Source organism: Homo sapiens, chromosome 12, assembly GCF_000001405.40.
Source record: "Homo sapiens chromosome 12, GRCh38.p14 Primary Assembly".
NCBI classification, from domain to species: domain Eukaryota; kingdom Metazoa; phylum Chordata; class Mammalia; order Primates; family Hominidae; genus Homo; species Homo sapiens.
In genome coordinates this window covers 122376335-122394341 of record NC_000012.12, presented here as the reverse complement: position 1 = coordinate 122394341, position 18007 = coordinate 122376335, and the positions used below count along the sequence as shown (strand labels likewise).

General features: G+C 44.7%; 1 protein-coding gene across 24 annotated transcripts in view, besides 2 other annotated features; it reads left to right on the top strand.

Annotated features, from left to right (window-relative positions):
- CLIP1 (CAP-Gly domain containing linker protein 1) overlaps positions 1-18007 on the top strand; it is a 151488-nt gene that overhangs the window by 28615 nt on the left and 104866 nt on the right. For all 24 annotated transcript variants that reach the window (XM_047429314.1, XM_047429321.1, XM_047429320.1 and 21 more), the window contains exons 2-3: positions 13784-13974; positions 16382-16953. In XM_047429314.1, coding sequence (XP_047285270.1) covers positions 13890-13974; positions 16382-16953 — 657 coding nt within the window. In that variant the 5' untranslated portion in view covers positions 13784-13889. The remainder of the gene's footprint in view (positions 1-13783; positions 13975-16381; positions 16954-18007) is intronic.
- Positions 7703-8334: an enhancer, noted in NCBI's record as "NANOG-H3K4me1 hESC enhancer chr12:122870555-122871186 (GRCh37/hg19 assembly coordinates)". NCBI's record gives its function as "activates a minimal SCP1, AML or CMV promoter by ChIP-STARR-seq in naive H9 embryonic stem cells {active_cell/tissue: H9 hESC(naive)}" and the evidence as "EXISTENCE:reporter gene assay evidence [ECO:0000049][PMID:30033119]".
- Positions 8969-9602: an enhancer, noted in NCBI's record as "H3K4me1 hESC enhancer chr12:122869287-122869920 (GRCh37/hg19 assembly coordinates)". NCBI's record gives its function as "activates a minimal SCP1, AML or CMV promoter by ChIP-STARR-seq in primed H9 embryonic stem cells {active_cell/tissue: H9 hESC(primed)}" and the evidence as "EXISTENCE:reporter gene assay evidence [ECO:0000049][PMID:30033119]".

The window sequence follows — 18007 nt, the reverse complement described above, 5'->3', positions numbered from 1 at the left end:
GATTTTTTTGTATTTTTAGTAGAGACGGGGTTTCACCATGTTGGCCAGGCTGGTCTCAAACTCACCTCAAGTGATCCGCCCGCCTCAGTCTCCCAAAGTACTGGGATTACAGGCGTGAGCCACCACGCCCGGCCCCTTTTCATCTTTTATTTAAGTAATGCAGTACGTAAACAATGGAACTTTTTTCTAAGTTTGACTGTGAGTTTAAGTGGAGAGATGATGCACCACCTCCCAAATAATAATTTTCTTATTGCTTTGCACCCATAAAGCATGTCAGTGTCAGAGAGACATCACATCCTGTTTTTTGAAGTAGACTGTGCTTTTAAAAGCATTGCCCTGTGTGTTCTCTGTTTTTCCCCCTCCGAAACAGTCACATGTCCCTATTTTCTTAAATACATAAAACCTAGAATCTTTTTTTTTTTTTTTTTTGGAGACAGAATCTCACTCTGTCACCCAGGCTGGAGTGCAGTGGTCTGATCTCAGCTAACCACAACTTCTGCCTCCCAGGTTCAAGTGATTCTCCTGGCTTAGCCTGCTGAATAGCTGGGACTACTGGTGCGCACCACCACACCCGGCTAATTTTTGTAGTTTAGTAGAGATGGGGGTTTCACCTTGTTGTCCAGGCTGGTCTCGAACTACTGACCTCAGGTGATCTGTCTGCCTCAGCTTCCCAAAGTGCTGGGATTACAGGTGGGAGCCACCGTGCCCAGCCAAGATCTAGACTCTTAAAACACTTTCTTAGAGACTAAGAGCCCTTTATGGGTCCACTAGGTGTATGCCCTTTCAAATGTCTCTCTTTAACTGGGTTGTCTTTAAGATAGCTTTGTAGAAATGAGCCATCCTGTACACATAAGTTGTAAGAACTTGAAATTGCCAGTCTGGCTGGGCATGGTGGCACATGCCTGTAATCCCAGCACTCTGGGAGGCCGAGGCGGGCAGATCACTTGAGGTCAGGAAATCGAGACCCTCCTGGCCAATATGGTGAAACCTCGTCTCTACTAAAAATACAAAAAATTAGCTGGGCATGGTGGCACACGCCTGTAATCCCAACTACTTGGGAGGTTGAGGCAGGAGAATCCCTTGAACCCAGGAGGCAGAGGTTGCAGTAAGGCGAGATGCCACTGTACTCCAGCCTAGGTGACAGAGTGAGACTCCATCTAAAAAAAAAAAAAAAACAAGATTGCCAATCTGCAGTGAATTTTAGCCACAGGGACAATATATAACTTCTTTAGATCAAGTTTCATTATTAAAAACATTTCTGGCTGGGTGTGGTGGTTCACACCTGTAATCCCAGCACTTTGGGAGGCCGAGGTGGGTGGATCACTTGAGGTCAGGAGTTCAAGACCAGCCTGGCCAACATAGCGAAACCCTGTCTCTACTAAAAATACAAAAATTAGCCGGGGGTGGTGGTGTGTGCCTGTAGTCCCAGTTACTCGGGAGGCTGAGGCAGGAGGATTGCTTGAGCCTGGGAGGTGGAAGTTGTAGTGAACTGAGAGTGGGCCACTGCACTCCAGCCTGGGCAACAGGAATGAAACCCTGTCTCAAAAAAAAACCAAAAAACAATTTTTGTGCTTTTAGTATGTATTCTTATTAGGGAGAATAGAAGTGAATCTTTAACCTTTGAATTCACATTCACCTTGCAAGATCTCTTTCACGGAAGGGTAGTTACTGAGATGTGTCTGAGTGGTAGCGGGCATTAGAGTGGGAGTGATTCTCGAGCCGGCTTGCCATGGTGGTTTTCTGGGGCTCCTGGAACAGTGACTGCCCTCTGTGCTTTGCGTGAAGTGTTGTACAGCACTAACTTCACCACCAAACTTTGGGATTCATTGCTGGGGCCCTGTTTTGTTTTCATTCAAGATCCTGGTAACTCACTCACTCTCTTCTACCACAAGTCAATTTTTTCCTTATGTGGATATTTTGAATATTCTTACCTTAATGAGGCAGGTTATAGGGGATTGCTTATTAAAAGGAATAAATACAGAAAGCATATTTTTATGTTTTGAGAAGGCTATGGTCTTGAACTGTATGTATACCCAACCTCAGATTTCCTTCTTTCTTTTGTTTTGTTTTTAGAGATGGGGCTCGTTCTATTGCCCAGGCTGGAGTGCAGTCGTGTAATCATAGGTCACTGCAGTCTTGGCCTCATGGGCTCAAGCCGTTCTCCTGCCTCGGCCTCCTGAGTAGCTCGCTCTATAGGCGTGATCCACCACACACAGTTAATTTGTATTTTTTTGTAGAGATGGGGGTCTCACTGTGTTGCCCAGGCTGGTCTCAAACTCCTGGACTTAAGCAATCCTCTCACCTCAGCCCCCTAACGTGCTAGGATTACAGGTGTGAACCACTGTGCCTGGCTTGGAAGACAGATTTTTATGTAATTTACTGTTCAAATAATGTGTAGTGATAAGAAGTGATATCTGAGAGGAAAATGAGGAGCTTGGATTCTTAGAATTAGTGATACAACTAACATTTGTGATTCTTGTATGGACTGGTGGTGGTGCATTCAAATGGTGTTCCAACTATTTGAAACATCCCCCAGGTGCTGGTGTTTTCCAGGCATTGAGGCTATGACAGTATCTAACGCGCTAAATACTAAATCTTGACTTTATGAAGGGTAGAACACATTTTTGTGTTGTTGGGAGGAAGAATAGTCCTACTTTCAGGAATACTAAATTTGACATCCCAAATGTCATTTATTTTTCATGTCCTAAAGCTGACATGAAGTTCTTATTACTATTTTATTTATTATTTTCTTTTTGAGACGAAGTCTCGCTTCTGTGCCCCAGGCTGGAGTACGATGGCGCGATCTCAGCTCACTGCACCCTCCGCCTCCTGGGTTCAAGCGATTTTCCTGCCTCAGCCTCCCGAGTAGCTGGGATTACAGGCACCCGCCACTATGCCCAGCTAATTTTTGTATTTTTAGTAGAGATGGGGTGTCACCATGTTGGCCAGGCTGGTCTTGAACTCCTGACCTCAGGTGATCCACCTGCCTCAGCCTCCCAAAGTGCTGGGATTACAGGCGTGAGCCACTGCACCTGGCCTTGTTCTTCTTTTTGTTAGACGGAGTCTTGCTTTGTCACCCGGGCTGGAGTGCAGTGACATGGTCTTAGCTCACTGCAGATCCTGCCTCCTGGATTCAAGCATTCCTCCTGCCTCAGCCTCCTAAGTAGCTGGGATTACAGGTGCCCGCCACCACATCTGGCTAATTTTTGTATTTTTAGTAGAGACGGGGTTTCGCTATGTTGGCCAGGCTGGTCTCAAACTGCCAACCTCAAGTGATCTGCCTGTCCCGGCCTCCCAAGTGTTGGGATTACAAGTGTGAGCCACCACACCGAGCCGGAAGTGTAAACCTTTTATGAGCAGGAAGAGAAGTGATTGTATGGCTGAGCAATCTGTTCATGGAGCCCTACTCCCTGGTGCGTAGTTGGGGCTTTGAAGTAGATCTCCCTGCTTCTCATATTCGAGGGAGTACAAGCAAAGCAGTAGCTGTTTTTGACTCTTTGGAAGTGACTTAAGTTCTAGAGATAAACATTTTATTCTTTTTTTTTTTTCATACCTCATCTGGCAGAAGAGAGATAAACATTATACAAATGGTTCTTGACTTGAAAAAAAATGGTCTAGCCGTGGTGTCAGTCAATGGTTTCAACAGTGGATTCTAGGGGTTAATGTGTAGGTATATTTTGTCACATTATAGTTTGGAAAGCAAGATTACATGACTTTTAAAAGCAAATGATGCCAGGTGCAGTGGCTCACACCTGTAATCCCAACACTTTGGGAGGCCGAGGTGGGCGGATCACTTGAGGCCAGGAGTTCCAGACCAGACTAGCCAACATGTCCAAACTCCATCTCTACTAAAAATGCAAAAATTAGCTGGGCGTGGTGGCGCATACCTGTAGTCCCAGCTACTGGAGAGGCTGAGATAGGAGAATCGTTTGAACCCAGGAGGTGGAGGTTGCAGTGAGCCGAGATTGTGCCACTGCACTTCAGCCTGGGTGCAGAGCGAGACTCCGTTTAAAAAAAAAATAATATATATATATATACATATATATATATATATATATATATGTATATATATATGTGTGTGTATATATGTGTATATATATGTGTGTGTATATATGTGTGTATATATATGTGTGTATATATATATTATATATATATATATATATATATATCTGAGACTGTGTAATTTATTAGAAAAGAGATTGAATTGGCTCACAGTTGTGCAGCCTGGAGAGGAAGCATAGCAGCATCTGTTTCTGGGGAGGCCTCAGGAAGCTTCTAATCATGGTGGAAGGCAAAGGGGGAACAGGCGCGTCACATGGCACCTGTTCCAGAAGCGAGAAAGAGAATGAGGGAGAGGAAGTGCCACACACTTTTAAATGACCCACCCTGCAAGAACTCACTGTCAAAAAGACAGCACCTAGCCATGAGGGATCCGCCCCCATGACCCAAACACCTCCCACCGGGCCCCCCCTCCAGCACTGGTGTTGACAGTTCAACATGAGATTTAGCAGAAGACAGATATCCAAACTGTATCTCTCCCCAACTACATTATAAATTCTTTTTTTTTTTTTTTTTTTTTTTTTGAGACAGGATCTCATTCTGCTCTCCTGGCTGGAATGCAGTGGTGCGATCTCGACTCACTGCAACCTCTGCCTTCTGGGTTTAAGCAATTCTCATGCCTCAGCCTCCTAAGTAGCTGGGCCTACAGGCATGCACCACCACGCCCGGCTAATTTTTGTATGTTTAGTAGAGACGGGGTTTCGCCATGTTGGCCAGGTTGGTCTCGAACACCTAACCTCAAGTGATCCGCCGGCTTTGGCCTCCCAAAGTGCTGGGATTACAGGCGTGAGCCACCGCACCCGGCCCTTTATAAATTCTTTGGGCTTAGATGTCTGTCATATAGTTTTGTGTCATCTGTAGCAAGCACCAGCTGTAATTTTGGTTTGGTATTGGATATACCTCAGCTGGTTTGTAGAGTCATTTAAATACTTCAGACTATTTTTCTCATTCATTTTATTTAGTAAACATTGTTTATAAAGTGCTGGGTAAAACATAAAGGTGACTAAAATACAGTTTCTTCCCTTGAGAGATTTCTAGTGTGGTGGAATCTGTGAGCTACACACATGGCCAAGTGTGCAAGGGGCTATTGCAGGGGCACAGACTTGCCATGGGTAGTGGAAGGATGAACAGATTTTCATTGCAAGGACTGGAGTAAGTTTTGTGGGGCAGATGAATGCCTGAGTTTGCCCTTGAGCCAAGTTTCAGCACCTGAAGACCACAAGACTTGGAAAGGACATTCGAAGCAAAGGGGACCCCCAGCCTTGAAAACATGGAGGAGGGGAAGCTGCTGTAGAGGTGTTGGGGAAGTCAGTTGTGTAGGTGATTTATGTCCATATCATTGAGAAGTTGAACCTCAGATTACTTCTTGATGAATAACTTAGCAGTGGTTCTCAAACTTTAGCATCTGGGCTGGGTGCAGTTGTTCATGCCTATGACCCCAGCACTTTGGGAGGCCGAGGCAGTAGGATTACTTGAGCCTAGGAGTTTAAAACCAGCCTGGGCAGCACAGTGAGACCCAGTCTCTACAAAAAAGAAATAAAAAACAATTACCTGGACTTGGTCGCACACGCCTGTAGTCCCAGCTACTCAGGAGGTTGGGGTTCGTGAATCACTTGAGCCCAGAATTCAAAGGGTGCGGTGAGCTACCATTGTGTCACTGCACTCTAATCTGGGTGATAAAACAAGACCTTGTCTCTGAAACAACAGCAACAATAATAAACTTCAGCATCCAAATAGCCTGAAGGCTTGTTAAAATACAGATAGTTGGCCGGGTGGTGGCTCACGCCTGTAATCCCAGCACTTTAGGAGGCCGAGGCAGGCAGATCATGAGGTCAGGAGATGGAGACCATCCTGGCTAACACGGTGAAACCCCGTCTCTACTAAAAATACAAAAAATTAGCCGGGCGTGGTTGCAGGTGCCTGTAGTCCCAGCTACTTGGGAGGCTGAGGCAGGAGAATGGCCTGAACCCGGGAGGCGGAGCTTGCAGTGAGCCGAGATCGCGCCACTGCGCTCCAGCCTGGGCGGCAGAGTGAGACTCCATCTCAAAAAAAAAAAAAAAATAGCTGGCCTACCCTCAGAGTTTGTTTCAGTAGGTTTGGGATTTGCATTTCTAACAAACTTTCATGTGATGCCGATTCTGTACATTTTGAGAACCTCTGCTGTAGAACCAGTGCTTCTGATGACTGCTTTATAGAAATGCATGTTTTATGTATAGTTGACTCTTGAATAACACAAGTTTGAACTGTGTCACCACACCCAGCCCTCTGACATTCTTAAAAACGAATGAGATCTCTAAAGAGCTTTTGTTTATGTATGTTATAGCTGTTAATATTTACCATATTAGAAATTAAAACTTGAGAATATTTAAAAATATTAATTCATTAGAAATAATAATAGGCCAGGTGCAGTGGTTCACGCCTTTAATCCCAGCACTTTGGGAGACTGAAGCAGGAGGATCGCTTGAGCCCAGGAGTTCCAGTCCAGCCTGGGCAACATAGCAGACCGCACTTCTACAAAAAAATAAAAATTTGGCCAAGCATGGTGGTGTGTGCCTGTAGTCTCAGCTGCTCGGGAGGATGGCTTGAGTCCAGGAGGTTGAGGCTACAGTGAGCTGTGATCGTGCCACTGCACTCCTGTCTGGGTGTCAGAGCAAGACCTTGTTTCTAAAAAAAAAAAAAAAAAAAAAAAAAATATATATATATATATATATATATATATATATATATATATATATGAAAAGGCATGTATTCAAGGGTTGAAATTTAACAAAATTATTTATCTCCTTTATGAAATGCTTCATCACACTCTTAAGTGACAGTAGTCCTCCCCCCCGCCTCCACAAGCACTTGTGATGTAAAATACAGAAAAGAATAGTGCAGTTTGGTTCCATTGCCTTGAAACAGCATGTACAGTTCTTATCCACCATTGCTTTTGTACCATCAGTGCAAGTGTCAACATAGTGAAAAAGGCAAATGATGTCTTAGTATTATTATGAAAATAGTTTTGATTCTCTAAAAGAGTCTCAAAGGTTCCCTGGGAGTGCACCGACCACACTTTGAGAACCACTGTATTATAGTAATGAAAGTCAGAGGCTGGGCACGGTGGTGCACGCCTGTAATCCCAGTGCTTTGGGAGGCTGAGGCGGGAGGATCCCTTGGGCCCAGGAGTTCAAGACCATTCTGGGCAATGTGGAGAAACCCCATCTCTACAAACATATTTAAAAATTAGCTGGGTGTGGTGGCATGTACCTGTAGTACTAGATACATGGGAGGCGAAGGTGGGAGAATCACTTGAGCTTGGGAGTTAGAGGCTGCAGTGAACTGTGATCGTGCTACTGCACTCCAGCTTGAGCAACAGGGCAAGACCCTATCTTAAAAAAACCAAGTCACGATTGGCAGGATGATCTTACCGTCAGCTTTGTAAGCTCAGAATCTCTCTCTCTTTTTTTTTTTTTTTTTGAGACATATTGCCCAGGGCTGGTCTCAAACTCTTTGGCTTAAACGATCCTCCTGCCTCGGCTTCTCAAAGTCTTGGGATTACAGATGTGAACCACTGTGCCAGCCAGAATCTCATTTTTTAAAAAAATCGTTTACTCAAAGATTAGATTCTTGAATCACACAAATTGAGAGATTGTAGTTTATAAAAAATAACCGTGTATTTATAATCAGAGAAATGCCAAAAAGACACTATTCTCTTTGGTCACTGTTGAAAATCTAAACTGTAATCTGAGCATAGAATTTTGGAACACTGACTTGACTATCCAAATGCCTATTTTTATCCAGCTTTGTGATCCTGACAAACCTTTTCCATAACAATGGTGTACCTGCTCCACGGACTCACTGTCTCTTTTCAAGAGAACCTTTTCCCATTAGTCAATAGACGTTTTCTTCATAGCTTCCTTTTTCTAGACTTTTTGGACTATACTTCTTTTTAGTTTGGCAACACATACTTAACATTTCTTCATTTTGATGTATTTTCTTTTTTTCTTTTCTTTTTTTGAGATGGAGTCTTGCACTTGCCCAGGCTGGAGTGCAGTGGTGTGATCTCGGCTCACTGCAACCTCTGTCTCCTGGGTTCAAGCGGTCCTCCTAACTCAGCCTCCCAAGTAACTGGGACTACAGGCGTGCAACACCACATCCGGCTAATTTTTGTATTTTTAGTAGAGATGGGGTTTTGCCATGTTGGCCAGGCTGGTCTCGAACTCCTGACCTCAGGTGAACCGCCTGCCTTGGCCTCCAAAAGTGCTGGGATTACAGGTGTGAACCAGTGCTCCCGGCCGAGCCCAATTCTTGATTTCTTTCCATCCCAAACTCTTTAAACTCTTGACCTCTGCAATTCAAGTTGTGAACATGAAACTTGTCTATCACCAGCCTCTTCTCTGCATTCTCTTTCCCTCCTTGTTATGCTAAAACTTGGATGGCCTCTGAAGATACTGCTCTTCACCCCTCTGAAGGGGGCTCCTCAGGGGAAGGTACATGGGGTAGCTGACCATGTTGTTTCCTGCTGATATGTTACTATTTCTCCATCCTTCAAACATTCAAGATCCTTTCAAGCGCTGCCACCTGTTACCCCTCCTGCAGCCGACATCCACTGACTTCATTCTCTTCCTTTCATTCCTTTTCACTTTTCCTTCCTTCTTACTGTCAACACCTCCTCCTCCAAATATAGACATGGGCAGTCCTACCAGCAGTCCTTTCAATACTCAGGCCTCTGAGTTCCATCCTGTGGTCAAAGGGATGAATCTTCTCACTCTAACCACCACCTCCTATCCTTTGACCCCTTGCTATTCATAGAGGTGGAGGGTCCTCAAAATGGCAGCATTAATATCCCCTGGGAGTGTAAGAAAGCTGAAGCTGCAGTTTCACAAGATCCTGGGGAGATTTGCATGCACATCTGAGCATCCAGTGTCGTCGCTGCAGCAGCCCTTCATCCGTTGCCGTCACTCCTTTTCACTGTCAGCGCTACTTTGCCTTCATGTCCCTTTTTACCCATCTCAGATGTCCTGTCCCATTTTAGTGACACTTTTCAAACACCCTTTAAAAATTACCATCGGCCGTGTGCGGTGTCTCACGCCTGTAACCCCAACACTTTAGGAGGCCAAGGCTAGTGGATCACAAGGTCAAGAGATTGAGACCATCCTGGCCAATATGGTGAAACCCCGTCTCTACTAAAAATACAAAATTTAGCTGGGCGTGGTGGTGGGCGCCTGTAGTCCCAGCTACTCATGAGTCTGAGGCAGGAGAATCGCTTGAACCTGGGAGGCAGAGGTCGCAGAGAGCTGAGATTGCGCCACTGCACTCCAGACTGGCGACAGAGCGAGACTGTCTCAAAAAAAAAAAAAAAAATTACCATCAACTCACTTGTTTCCCTTCCAGTTTTAACTTAACTGGCAAATTTTGATTATGGTTGAATTTAGGTATCTTCTTTGTGCCTGTGCCTGAACAGAAATGTGTTAGAAGAGAAAAAAAAAAAAAAGAAACTGGAGAGAATGATTTCGCTTTATTTTTTTTTTTTATTTTTTGAGATGGAGTCTTGCTCTGTCACCCAGGCCGGAGTGCAGTGGCGCGATCTCGGCCCACTGTAACCTCCGCCTCCTGGGTTCAAGCGATTCTCCCACCTCAGCCTCCTGAGTAGCTGGGATTACAAGCGCCCGCCACCATGCCCGGCTAATTTTTTATTTTTAGTAGAGGCGGGGTTTCACCATGTTGGCCAGGCTGGTTTCGAACTCCTGACCTCAGGTGATCCGCCCACCTCAGCCTTCCAAAGTGCTGGGATTATAGGTATGAGCCACTGCGCCCGGCCTTCGAGTGCCACCACTTCTTTGACCTTGGAAAGGTCACTTAACCTTGTAGATCGTCATTCTCTTTATTCCTGATTGGACTAATGGTAATTGCACACCTACCTTCACAGCTGAAGCCTGATACACAGGCAGTTTTGTATTTGTGCTATGTGAGCTCTTGATGCCATACATATGTAGGTCATTCTTGTAGTAGCAGAACTGATGTTTTTCATCTTGATGAGTGCTATCTCCTAAGTTTTAATATTAAATTTAGTGAAAAGAGATGAACTTTGGAATCACAATACCTGTGTTCGCATCTGTGCCACTGAGCAGAATGACCTTAGGAGACAGGTGATGAACAAGTGAGGAAACACATCTGTTAATTTCTTAATTTCTGCAGCATTTCTTCATTTGTAAAAAAGAGGTAATAATAGTGGCTAATTCATAGTATTGTAATGCTCAAATGGGATAGTAATTCACATAAAAATTATTTCTGAATTATAATGTTCTATGTGTTATGGTCCTTACATGTTGGGAGGGTGGGGGAGAAGGGTAGTTTGTCTTATTTTAGGTCCAAATCTCCTGATTCATTGAGCACAAGTGTCAAAAATTCAAATATGCTCAGCTTATTAGTGAGGCAACAATGTCTTTTTTTTTTTGTTTTGCACATTTTTTGGAATTGATTAGTTTCAATGTGACATTCACTGACCTTGAAACATTATACAGAGATGTTGCCTCTTGATCACTGCATGTTGTGGGTACCATGACAAAGACTTTGATCTTTTGTTTTTTTGAAGCAAGCCTGACATGCCAGTCATTAATAATGCATGAAAAAGAAATTATAAATTGGAAGATTTAAAAAATCAACACTGGCGTTGTTGCTGCTAATTCTTTTATTGAGACAGACTAGATTTTTCTCCTTCATTAAACCTTGGTCACAGTTCTCCGCGTTAGGATTCAAGGAACACAGATGGACCGACAACCAGAGGCATGAGGATTGGACAACAGAGCCCTAGACAGAGCTTATGATTAGTCTTTGGTTTGTAATAACCACATGCTTCTGTGTTTTAGGCGGAGGCTTGAAGATGGTCAGATTTTTGTGAGTTTATGATACTGAGCTGCAAGATTTGAAAGTTCCCTTGTTAGGTCTTGTGGCCGTTTTCAAAATTCCTCTTTAGGGAGTGCTTGACGTGAGCCCAACAGCTCCCTGTTGTGTGCAAGTGAAATAATTTAAGGAGCATTTTGTTCTTTCATTTTGTCACCGTAAAAGGTTTTCCAGAACCACAGTGCCTGCTCCGTCTGTTCTCTGTCAGTTCTACCTGGCCCTTGTCACTCTATGAGGTTGGCCCAGGGTGAAGAGTAGGGAAGGCCCTAGGGAATTTCTACACTTAGCCTGTTTGCATCCTTCTCAAATTTTATGGACGTAGACATGGTCGTTGTTGGCTGAGTCTAGAGGAGACTTGGCCAATCCCTTCTATCTGTCTGAGGCAGCAGCAGGAACAAATAACTCTGCTTGAAACTTGCAAGCTGTGTGGTGAGAGTCTGACAGTAAAGCAGGTGGTTTCAAACCTGACTGTGAATCAGAACTACGGCCTTAGCGTAGGGACTCCCACCCGGATCTCTTTCCCTCATCACTGATGGCAGTGGTGATGGTGGTAATGGCGGTGAGGAGCTTGGGAATTTTATATTCATAATCAGGATAGTGACTTCTGTCTTCAGGTAAATGCCAGTTCTTACTCTGTCCTTCAGAATCTTCTCCCAAACCACACTTATTTATTTATTTATTTATTTATTTATTGAGACATAGTCTCACTCTACCACCTAGGGTGGAGTGCAGTGCACGATCTCGGCTCACTGCAGCCTCTGCCTCCTGGGTTCAGCCAATTCTCCTGCCACCTGAGTACCTGGGATTACAGGTGTGTACCACCATGCCTGACCTCTGCCTCTGTTTTCACGTGGCCTTCTTTCTATGTGTTCTCATCTTTTTTTTTTTCTTTTTCGAGGTGGTGTCTCGCTCAGTTGCCTAGGCTCACTACAACCTTCATCTTCTGGGATCAAGGGATTCTCGTGCCTCAGCCTTCCAAGTAACTGGGACTACAGGAGGCACGCGCCACAACGCCTGGCTAATTTTTTTTTTTTTTGAGACGGAGTTTTGCTCTCGTTGCCCAGGCGGGAGTGCAATGGCACAACCTGGGCTCACTACAACCTCTGCCTCCCGGGTTCAAGCAGTTCTCCTGCTGCAGCCTCTCGAGTAGCTGGGATTATAGGCATGCACCACCATGCCCGGCTAATTTTATATTTTTAGTAGAGACAGAGTTTCTCCATGTTGGTCAGGCTGGTCTCAAACCCCCAACCTCAGGTGATCTGCCTGCCTCGGCCTCTCAAAGTGCTGGGATTACAGGTGTGAGCCACCACGCCCGGCCATAATTTTTGTATTTTTAGGAGAGACGAGGTTTCACCAGGTTCACCAGGCTGGCCTTGGACTCCTGACCTCAAGTGATCCGTCCACCTTGGCGTCCCAAAGTGTTGGGATTACAGGCGTGAGCCAGTGCACCTGGTCACTTCTTCTTATAGGGATGCTTTTCATTGGGTTTTGGGCCTACCAAGGTAATCCAGGATGATCTTATCTCAAGATTCTTAATTATATCTGCAAAGATGCTTTTTCCAAATAAGATCACTTTCACAGGTGCTGGGGGACATGTCTTTGGGGGAGGGCACTGTTCCATCCGCTGGAGTGGGCTGCATGTACCTTTGTCATCCCTGGCCAGATTCTTTGCCAGTGGCTGGCGTTGGCTGTGAGGGAGACAAGATGAGAAAGTGAGGTCTGTGCTTCATCATCCAAGCTCTGCTCGCAGAGAAAAATGCAGAACATTGTCATTTGACAGAGTCATTAAATGGCAGCATTTTTCTCTTTGAATTGTTCTGTTTTTAGGTATTATGTCTGAAAATATTTCCCTATATTCCAAAACCCCAAGGTAATTTCAATTCACTTTCTATGGAGGTGAAGAGAATATGACAGGATACTATTTTACCTTAGTCCAAAAGTCATAGATTCATATCTGGTCTTGAGTAAACCAGCAGTATATTGTTTTTTTCTAGATAGAAACAAGGTAATTTTCCCTCATCACTTCCCAGGTAGGGCTTTTTCTTACATAGTTTTAATCTTCCTGTAGTTTAACATATATATAGTTTTATATTGTAAATTGCATAATTCTGTGGATTTAAAAAATATAGCTAATACAGGCTTGTTGTAGTAAAACTTAAGCAATATAGAAATGAAAGTAAAAAACTGAAAGCTTCCTTTTTCTCCCCGCATTGTTTGGTGTAGATTTTTCTGAACCCTCTTTTATGGATTGTGTGGGTTTTAGGAACTGTACTGAGCTAAGAACATTAGATATATAAAACAAAGCAAACACTTTGTTTGTCTTAATTGCTTATTTTTGTTTTTGTGTTTTTTGTTTGTTTGTTTTGAGTTGGGGTCTTGCTCTGTCACCCAGGCTGGAGTACAGTGGTGTGATCGATCATGGCTCACTGCAGCCTCAAACTCCTGGGCTCATGAAATCCTTCCCCCTCAGCCTCATGGCTAATTTATTTTTATTTTTATTTTTGTAGAGACAGGGTCTTGCTATATTGATCAGGCTGGTCTCGAACTCCTGGCCTCAAACAGTCCTCCTATCTTAGCCTCCCAAAGTGCTGGGATTACAGATGTGAGGAGTGGGTCATGGCACCTGGCTAACTGCTTGTCTTGAGGATAGTAAATTGCCTTTAAATCCATTTCAGCAGCATTTTCATGTGTTTAATAACCAGAGTCTTCTAGGTTCCTAGGTTCAGCCTGGAGATGGATTATTGTCAAATGAAAGGAAAGCTTTAGTCTATGAAAGCTACCTGTTGTTCCTACTTGCTCCTGTAGATTATAAAATCTTTTTATTTCTTTCTCTTTGCAGATTTAATCCAGAGACTGACTTCACTATAGAACCCACAGTTGTATCAATGGTTGGGGAAAGATAGTGGCAACAGGCAAAGGAGAAACAGCTCTGACATACAAAGAAAATGAGTATGCTAAAGCCAAGTGGGCTTAAGGCCCCCACCAAGATCCTGAAGCCTGGAAGCACAGCTCTGAAGACACCTACGGCTGGTAATACTTTACGCTTTTCCTTTCCTTATCCTATATGGAGACTTCAATTTGCTTTTTAATTTTAAAACATTATTTTATATCTGTTCATATTCTTGAAAATATTTGAAAGATTTTTTTTTTTTTTTGAGATGGAATCTAACTCTGTCACCCAGGCTGGAGTGCAGTGGCGCAATCTTGGCTCACTGCAGGCTCCGCCTCCTGGGTTCAAGCGATTCTCCTGCCTCAGCCTCCCAAGTAGCTGGGAATATAGGCGCATACTACCACGCTCAGCTAATTTTTGTATTATTAGTAGAGATGGGGTTTCACCATATTGGCCAGGCTGGTCTCGATCTCCTGACCTCGTGATCCACCCACCTCGGCCTCCCAAAGTGCTGAGATTACAGGCGTGAGCCACTGTGCCTTGCATTTTTTTTTTTTTTTTTTAAAGATGGAGTCTTGCTCTATTCCCCAGGCTGGAGTGCAGTGGCACAATCTCGGCTCACTGCAACCTCCACCTCCGGGGTTCAAGCGATTCTCCTGCCTCAGCCTCCCCAGTAGCTGGGATTACAGACACATGCCACCATACCCAGCTTATTTTTGTATTTTTAGTGGAGATGGGGTTTCACCATGTTGGCCAGGCTGGTCTTGAACTCCTGACCTCAAGTTATCTGCCTACCACAGCCTCCCAAAGTGCTGGATTATAGGTGTGAGCCACCATGCCTGGCCTGAAAGAATTTTTAATTGAAAGACGTAAAATTTTATATGTGGAGAGCTTAATGAATTTTTGTAGGGTTTTTTGTTTGCTTCTTTGTTTTTGAGACAAGGTTTCACTCTGTCGCCCAGGCTGGAGGGCAGTGGTACTGTCATGGCTCTCAGCGTCCCAAGTAGCTGGGATTACAGGCGCGCTCCACCACGTCTGGCTAAATTTTGTATTTTTAGTAGAGATGGGGTTTCACCATGTTGCCCAGGCTGGTCTTGAACTCCTGACCTCAGGTTATCTGCCTGCCTTGGCTTCCCAAAGTGCTGGGATTACAGGCATGAGCCACCATGCCAGGCCTGGTTTTTGTTTTTTTTTTTTTTTGAGATGCTGTATTGTTCTGTTATCAAGGCTGGAATGCAGTGGCTCAATCTCGGCTCACTGCAACCTCCACCTCCCAGGTTCAAGCGATTCTCCTGCCTCAGCCTCCAGAGTAGCTGGGATTAATGGCACCCACCACTATGCCTGGCTAATTTTTGTTTTTTTTTGGTTTTGTTTTGTTTTTTGAGACGGAGTTTCACTCTTGTTGCCCAGGCAAGAGTGCAGTGACATGATTTCGGCTCACTGCAACCTCTGCCTCCCAGGTGCAAGCGATTCTCCTGCCTCAGCCTCCCGAGTAGCTGGGACTACAGGCGCGCTCCACCATGCCCGGCTAATTTTGTATTTTTAGTAGAGATGGGGTTTCTCCACATTGGTCAGGCTGGTCTCAAACTCCCGACCTCAGGTGATCTGCCCGCCTCGGCCTCCCAAAGTGCTGGGATTACAGGTGTGAGCCACTGCACCCGGCCCTATATTTTTTAGTAGGAATGGGGTTTCATCATGTTGACTGGGCTGGTCTCAAACTCCAGACCTCAAATGATCCACCCACCTCAGCCTCTCAAAGAAGTGGGATTACAGGCGTGAGCCACTGTGCCTGGAATAGTCCTAGTTTTTATCAGCTTCGATTGACTACTCAATTGTGGAGTAGTGCTATTTAGTGAATGTGAATGGATATTTGCTCATGATGTGCAGGGTGGCGGGTGTAGCAAATAATGAAATCAGACCAATTATGAATATAGGCCTGGAAAAAGGACTGATTTTATTTTTTTCTTACTTTGACTTTTTCTAATCTTAATTGCAAATAAAGGAATAAACCTCAACTACCAGTTTGCGGAGTTTAGCAGCATTGAAGATGGTAGTGAAGGATCAGTTATTCTTGGCTTCCTTGTTTAAAACAAAACAGCACAAAACAAACAAAAACACTTTGGTGAGGCACAGTGGCTCATGCCTGTAATCCTAACACTTTGGGAGGCTGAGGCGGGAGGTTCACCTGAGGTCAGGAGTTTGAGACCAGCCTGGCCAACGTGGTGAGACCCCGTCTCTACTAAAAATACAAAAATTAGCCAGATATGGTGGTGCACATCTGTAATCCTAGCTACTCAGGAGGCTGAAGGAGGAGAATCACTTGTACCCGGAAGGTGGAGGTTGCAGTGAGCCGAGATCACACCACTGCATTCTAGCCTGGGCGACAGAGCGAGACTGTCTCAAAAGAACAAAAAACCACACTTTAAAACACCTTTCTAAGAGTTCTGGGCTACTCCTGTGGGCTGTTGGCTTTCTCTAGTTTTTCTTTAAGTTAGAGGTTGTCTGCTTGAAAATTAAATCGAATCTCTTATGATCTTTTGTTTTCAGTTGTAGCTCCAGTAGAAAAAACCATATCCAGTGAAAAAGCATCAAGCACTCCATCATCTGAGACTCAGGAGGAATTTGTGGATGACTTTCGAGTTGGGGAGCGAGTTTGGGTGAATGGAAATAAGCCTGGATTTATCCAGTTTCTTGGAGAAACCCAGTTTGCACCAGGCCAGTGGGCTGGAATTGTTTTAGATGAACCCATAGGCAAGAACGATGGTTCGGTGGCAGGAGTTCGGTATTTCCAGTGTGAACCTTTAAAGGGCATATTTACCCGACCTTCAAAGTTAACAAGGAAGGTGCAAGCAGAAGATGAAGCTAATGGCCTGCAGACAACGCCCGCCTCCCGAGCTACTTCACCGCTGTGCACTTCTACGGCCAGCATGGTGTCTTCCTCCCCCTCCACCCCTTCAAACATCCCTCAGAAACCATCACAGCCAGCAGCAAAGGAACCTTCAGCTACGCCTCCGATCAGCAACCTTACAAAAACTGCCAGTGAATCTATCTCCAACCTTTCAGAGGCTGGCTCAATCAAGAAAGGAGAAAGAGAGCTCAAAATCGGAGACAGAGTATTGGTGAGTAGAGAAACATTCTGAGGTCATTTCATTGAACTGAGATATAAACACCAGTGAGTGGTTGAAATACACACACATCAGGGCTGGGCGCGGTGGCTCACACCTATAATCCCAGCACTTTGGGAGGCTGAGGCGGGTGGATCACGAGGTCAGGAGTTCAAGACCAGCCTGGCCAAGATGGTGAAACCCTGTCTCTACTAAAAATACAAAAAAATTAGCTGGGATTGGTGGGGGCGCCTGTAATCCCAGCTACTCAGGAGGCTGAGGCAGAGAATTGCCTGAACCTGGGAGGTGGAGGTTGCAGTGAGCCGAGATTGCGCCACTACACTCCAGCCTGGGCGAGAGAGTGAGACTCTGTCTCAAAAAAAAAAAAAAAATGCCAGAAATACACACATAGGATACTCCTTGGCTCAGAGTCTGTTCTGGAGGGATGACCACTCTTTTATAGAGAAATTAATCAGTTCAGTTTATGGGTAACTACGCAACAAATTAGAAACTGGCTGTGCAGTTTGTGTCTAGAAAGAGCAGTGAACTATTCTAGTTGTATCTAGCAGTTTAGCTAAAAGAATATTGAGTTTATAATTTCTAAATATTTACTTTTATTATTAAAAATTTTCTTGGCCAGGTGCCGTGGCTCATGCCTGTAATCCCAGCACTTTGGGAGTCCCAGGTGGGTGGATCACGAGGTCAGGAGATCAAGACCATCCTGGCTAATGCGGTGAAACCCCATCTCTACTAAAAAAATACAAAAAAAATTAGCCGGGCATGGTGGCATGCGCCTGTAGTCCCAGCTACTCGGGAGGCTGAGGCAAGAGAATGGCCTGAACCCAGGAGGCGGAGCTTGCAGTGAGCCGAGATTGCGCCACCGCACTCCAGCCTAGGAGACAGAGCGAGACTCTGTCTCAAAGAAAAAAAAAATTTTTTTTCTTAATATTATATGGCTCCCTGTTGGGGACTCAAACTCCAGTCTCCACATGACAGGCAGAAACACTCACCACTATACTAACAAGGAACTTGTAAATAGTAAGGTAACCGTGGCTAGGTACGGTGGCTT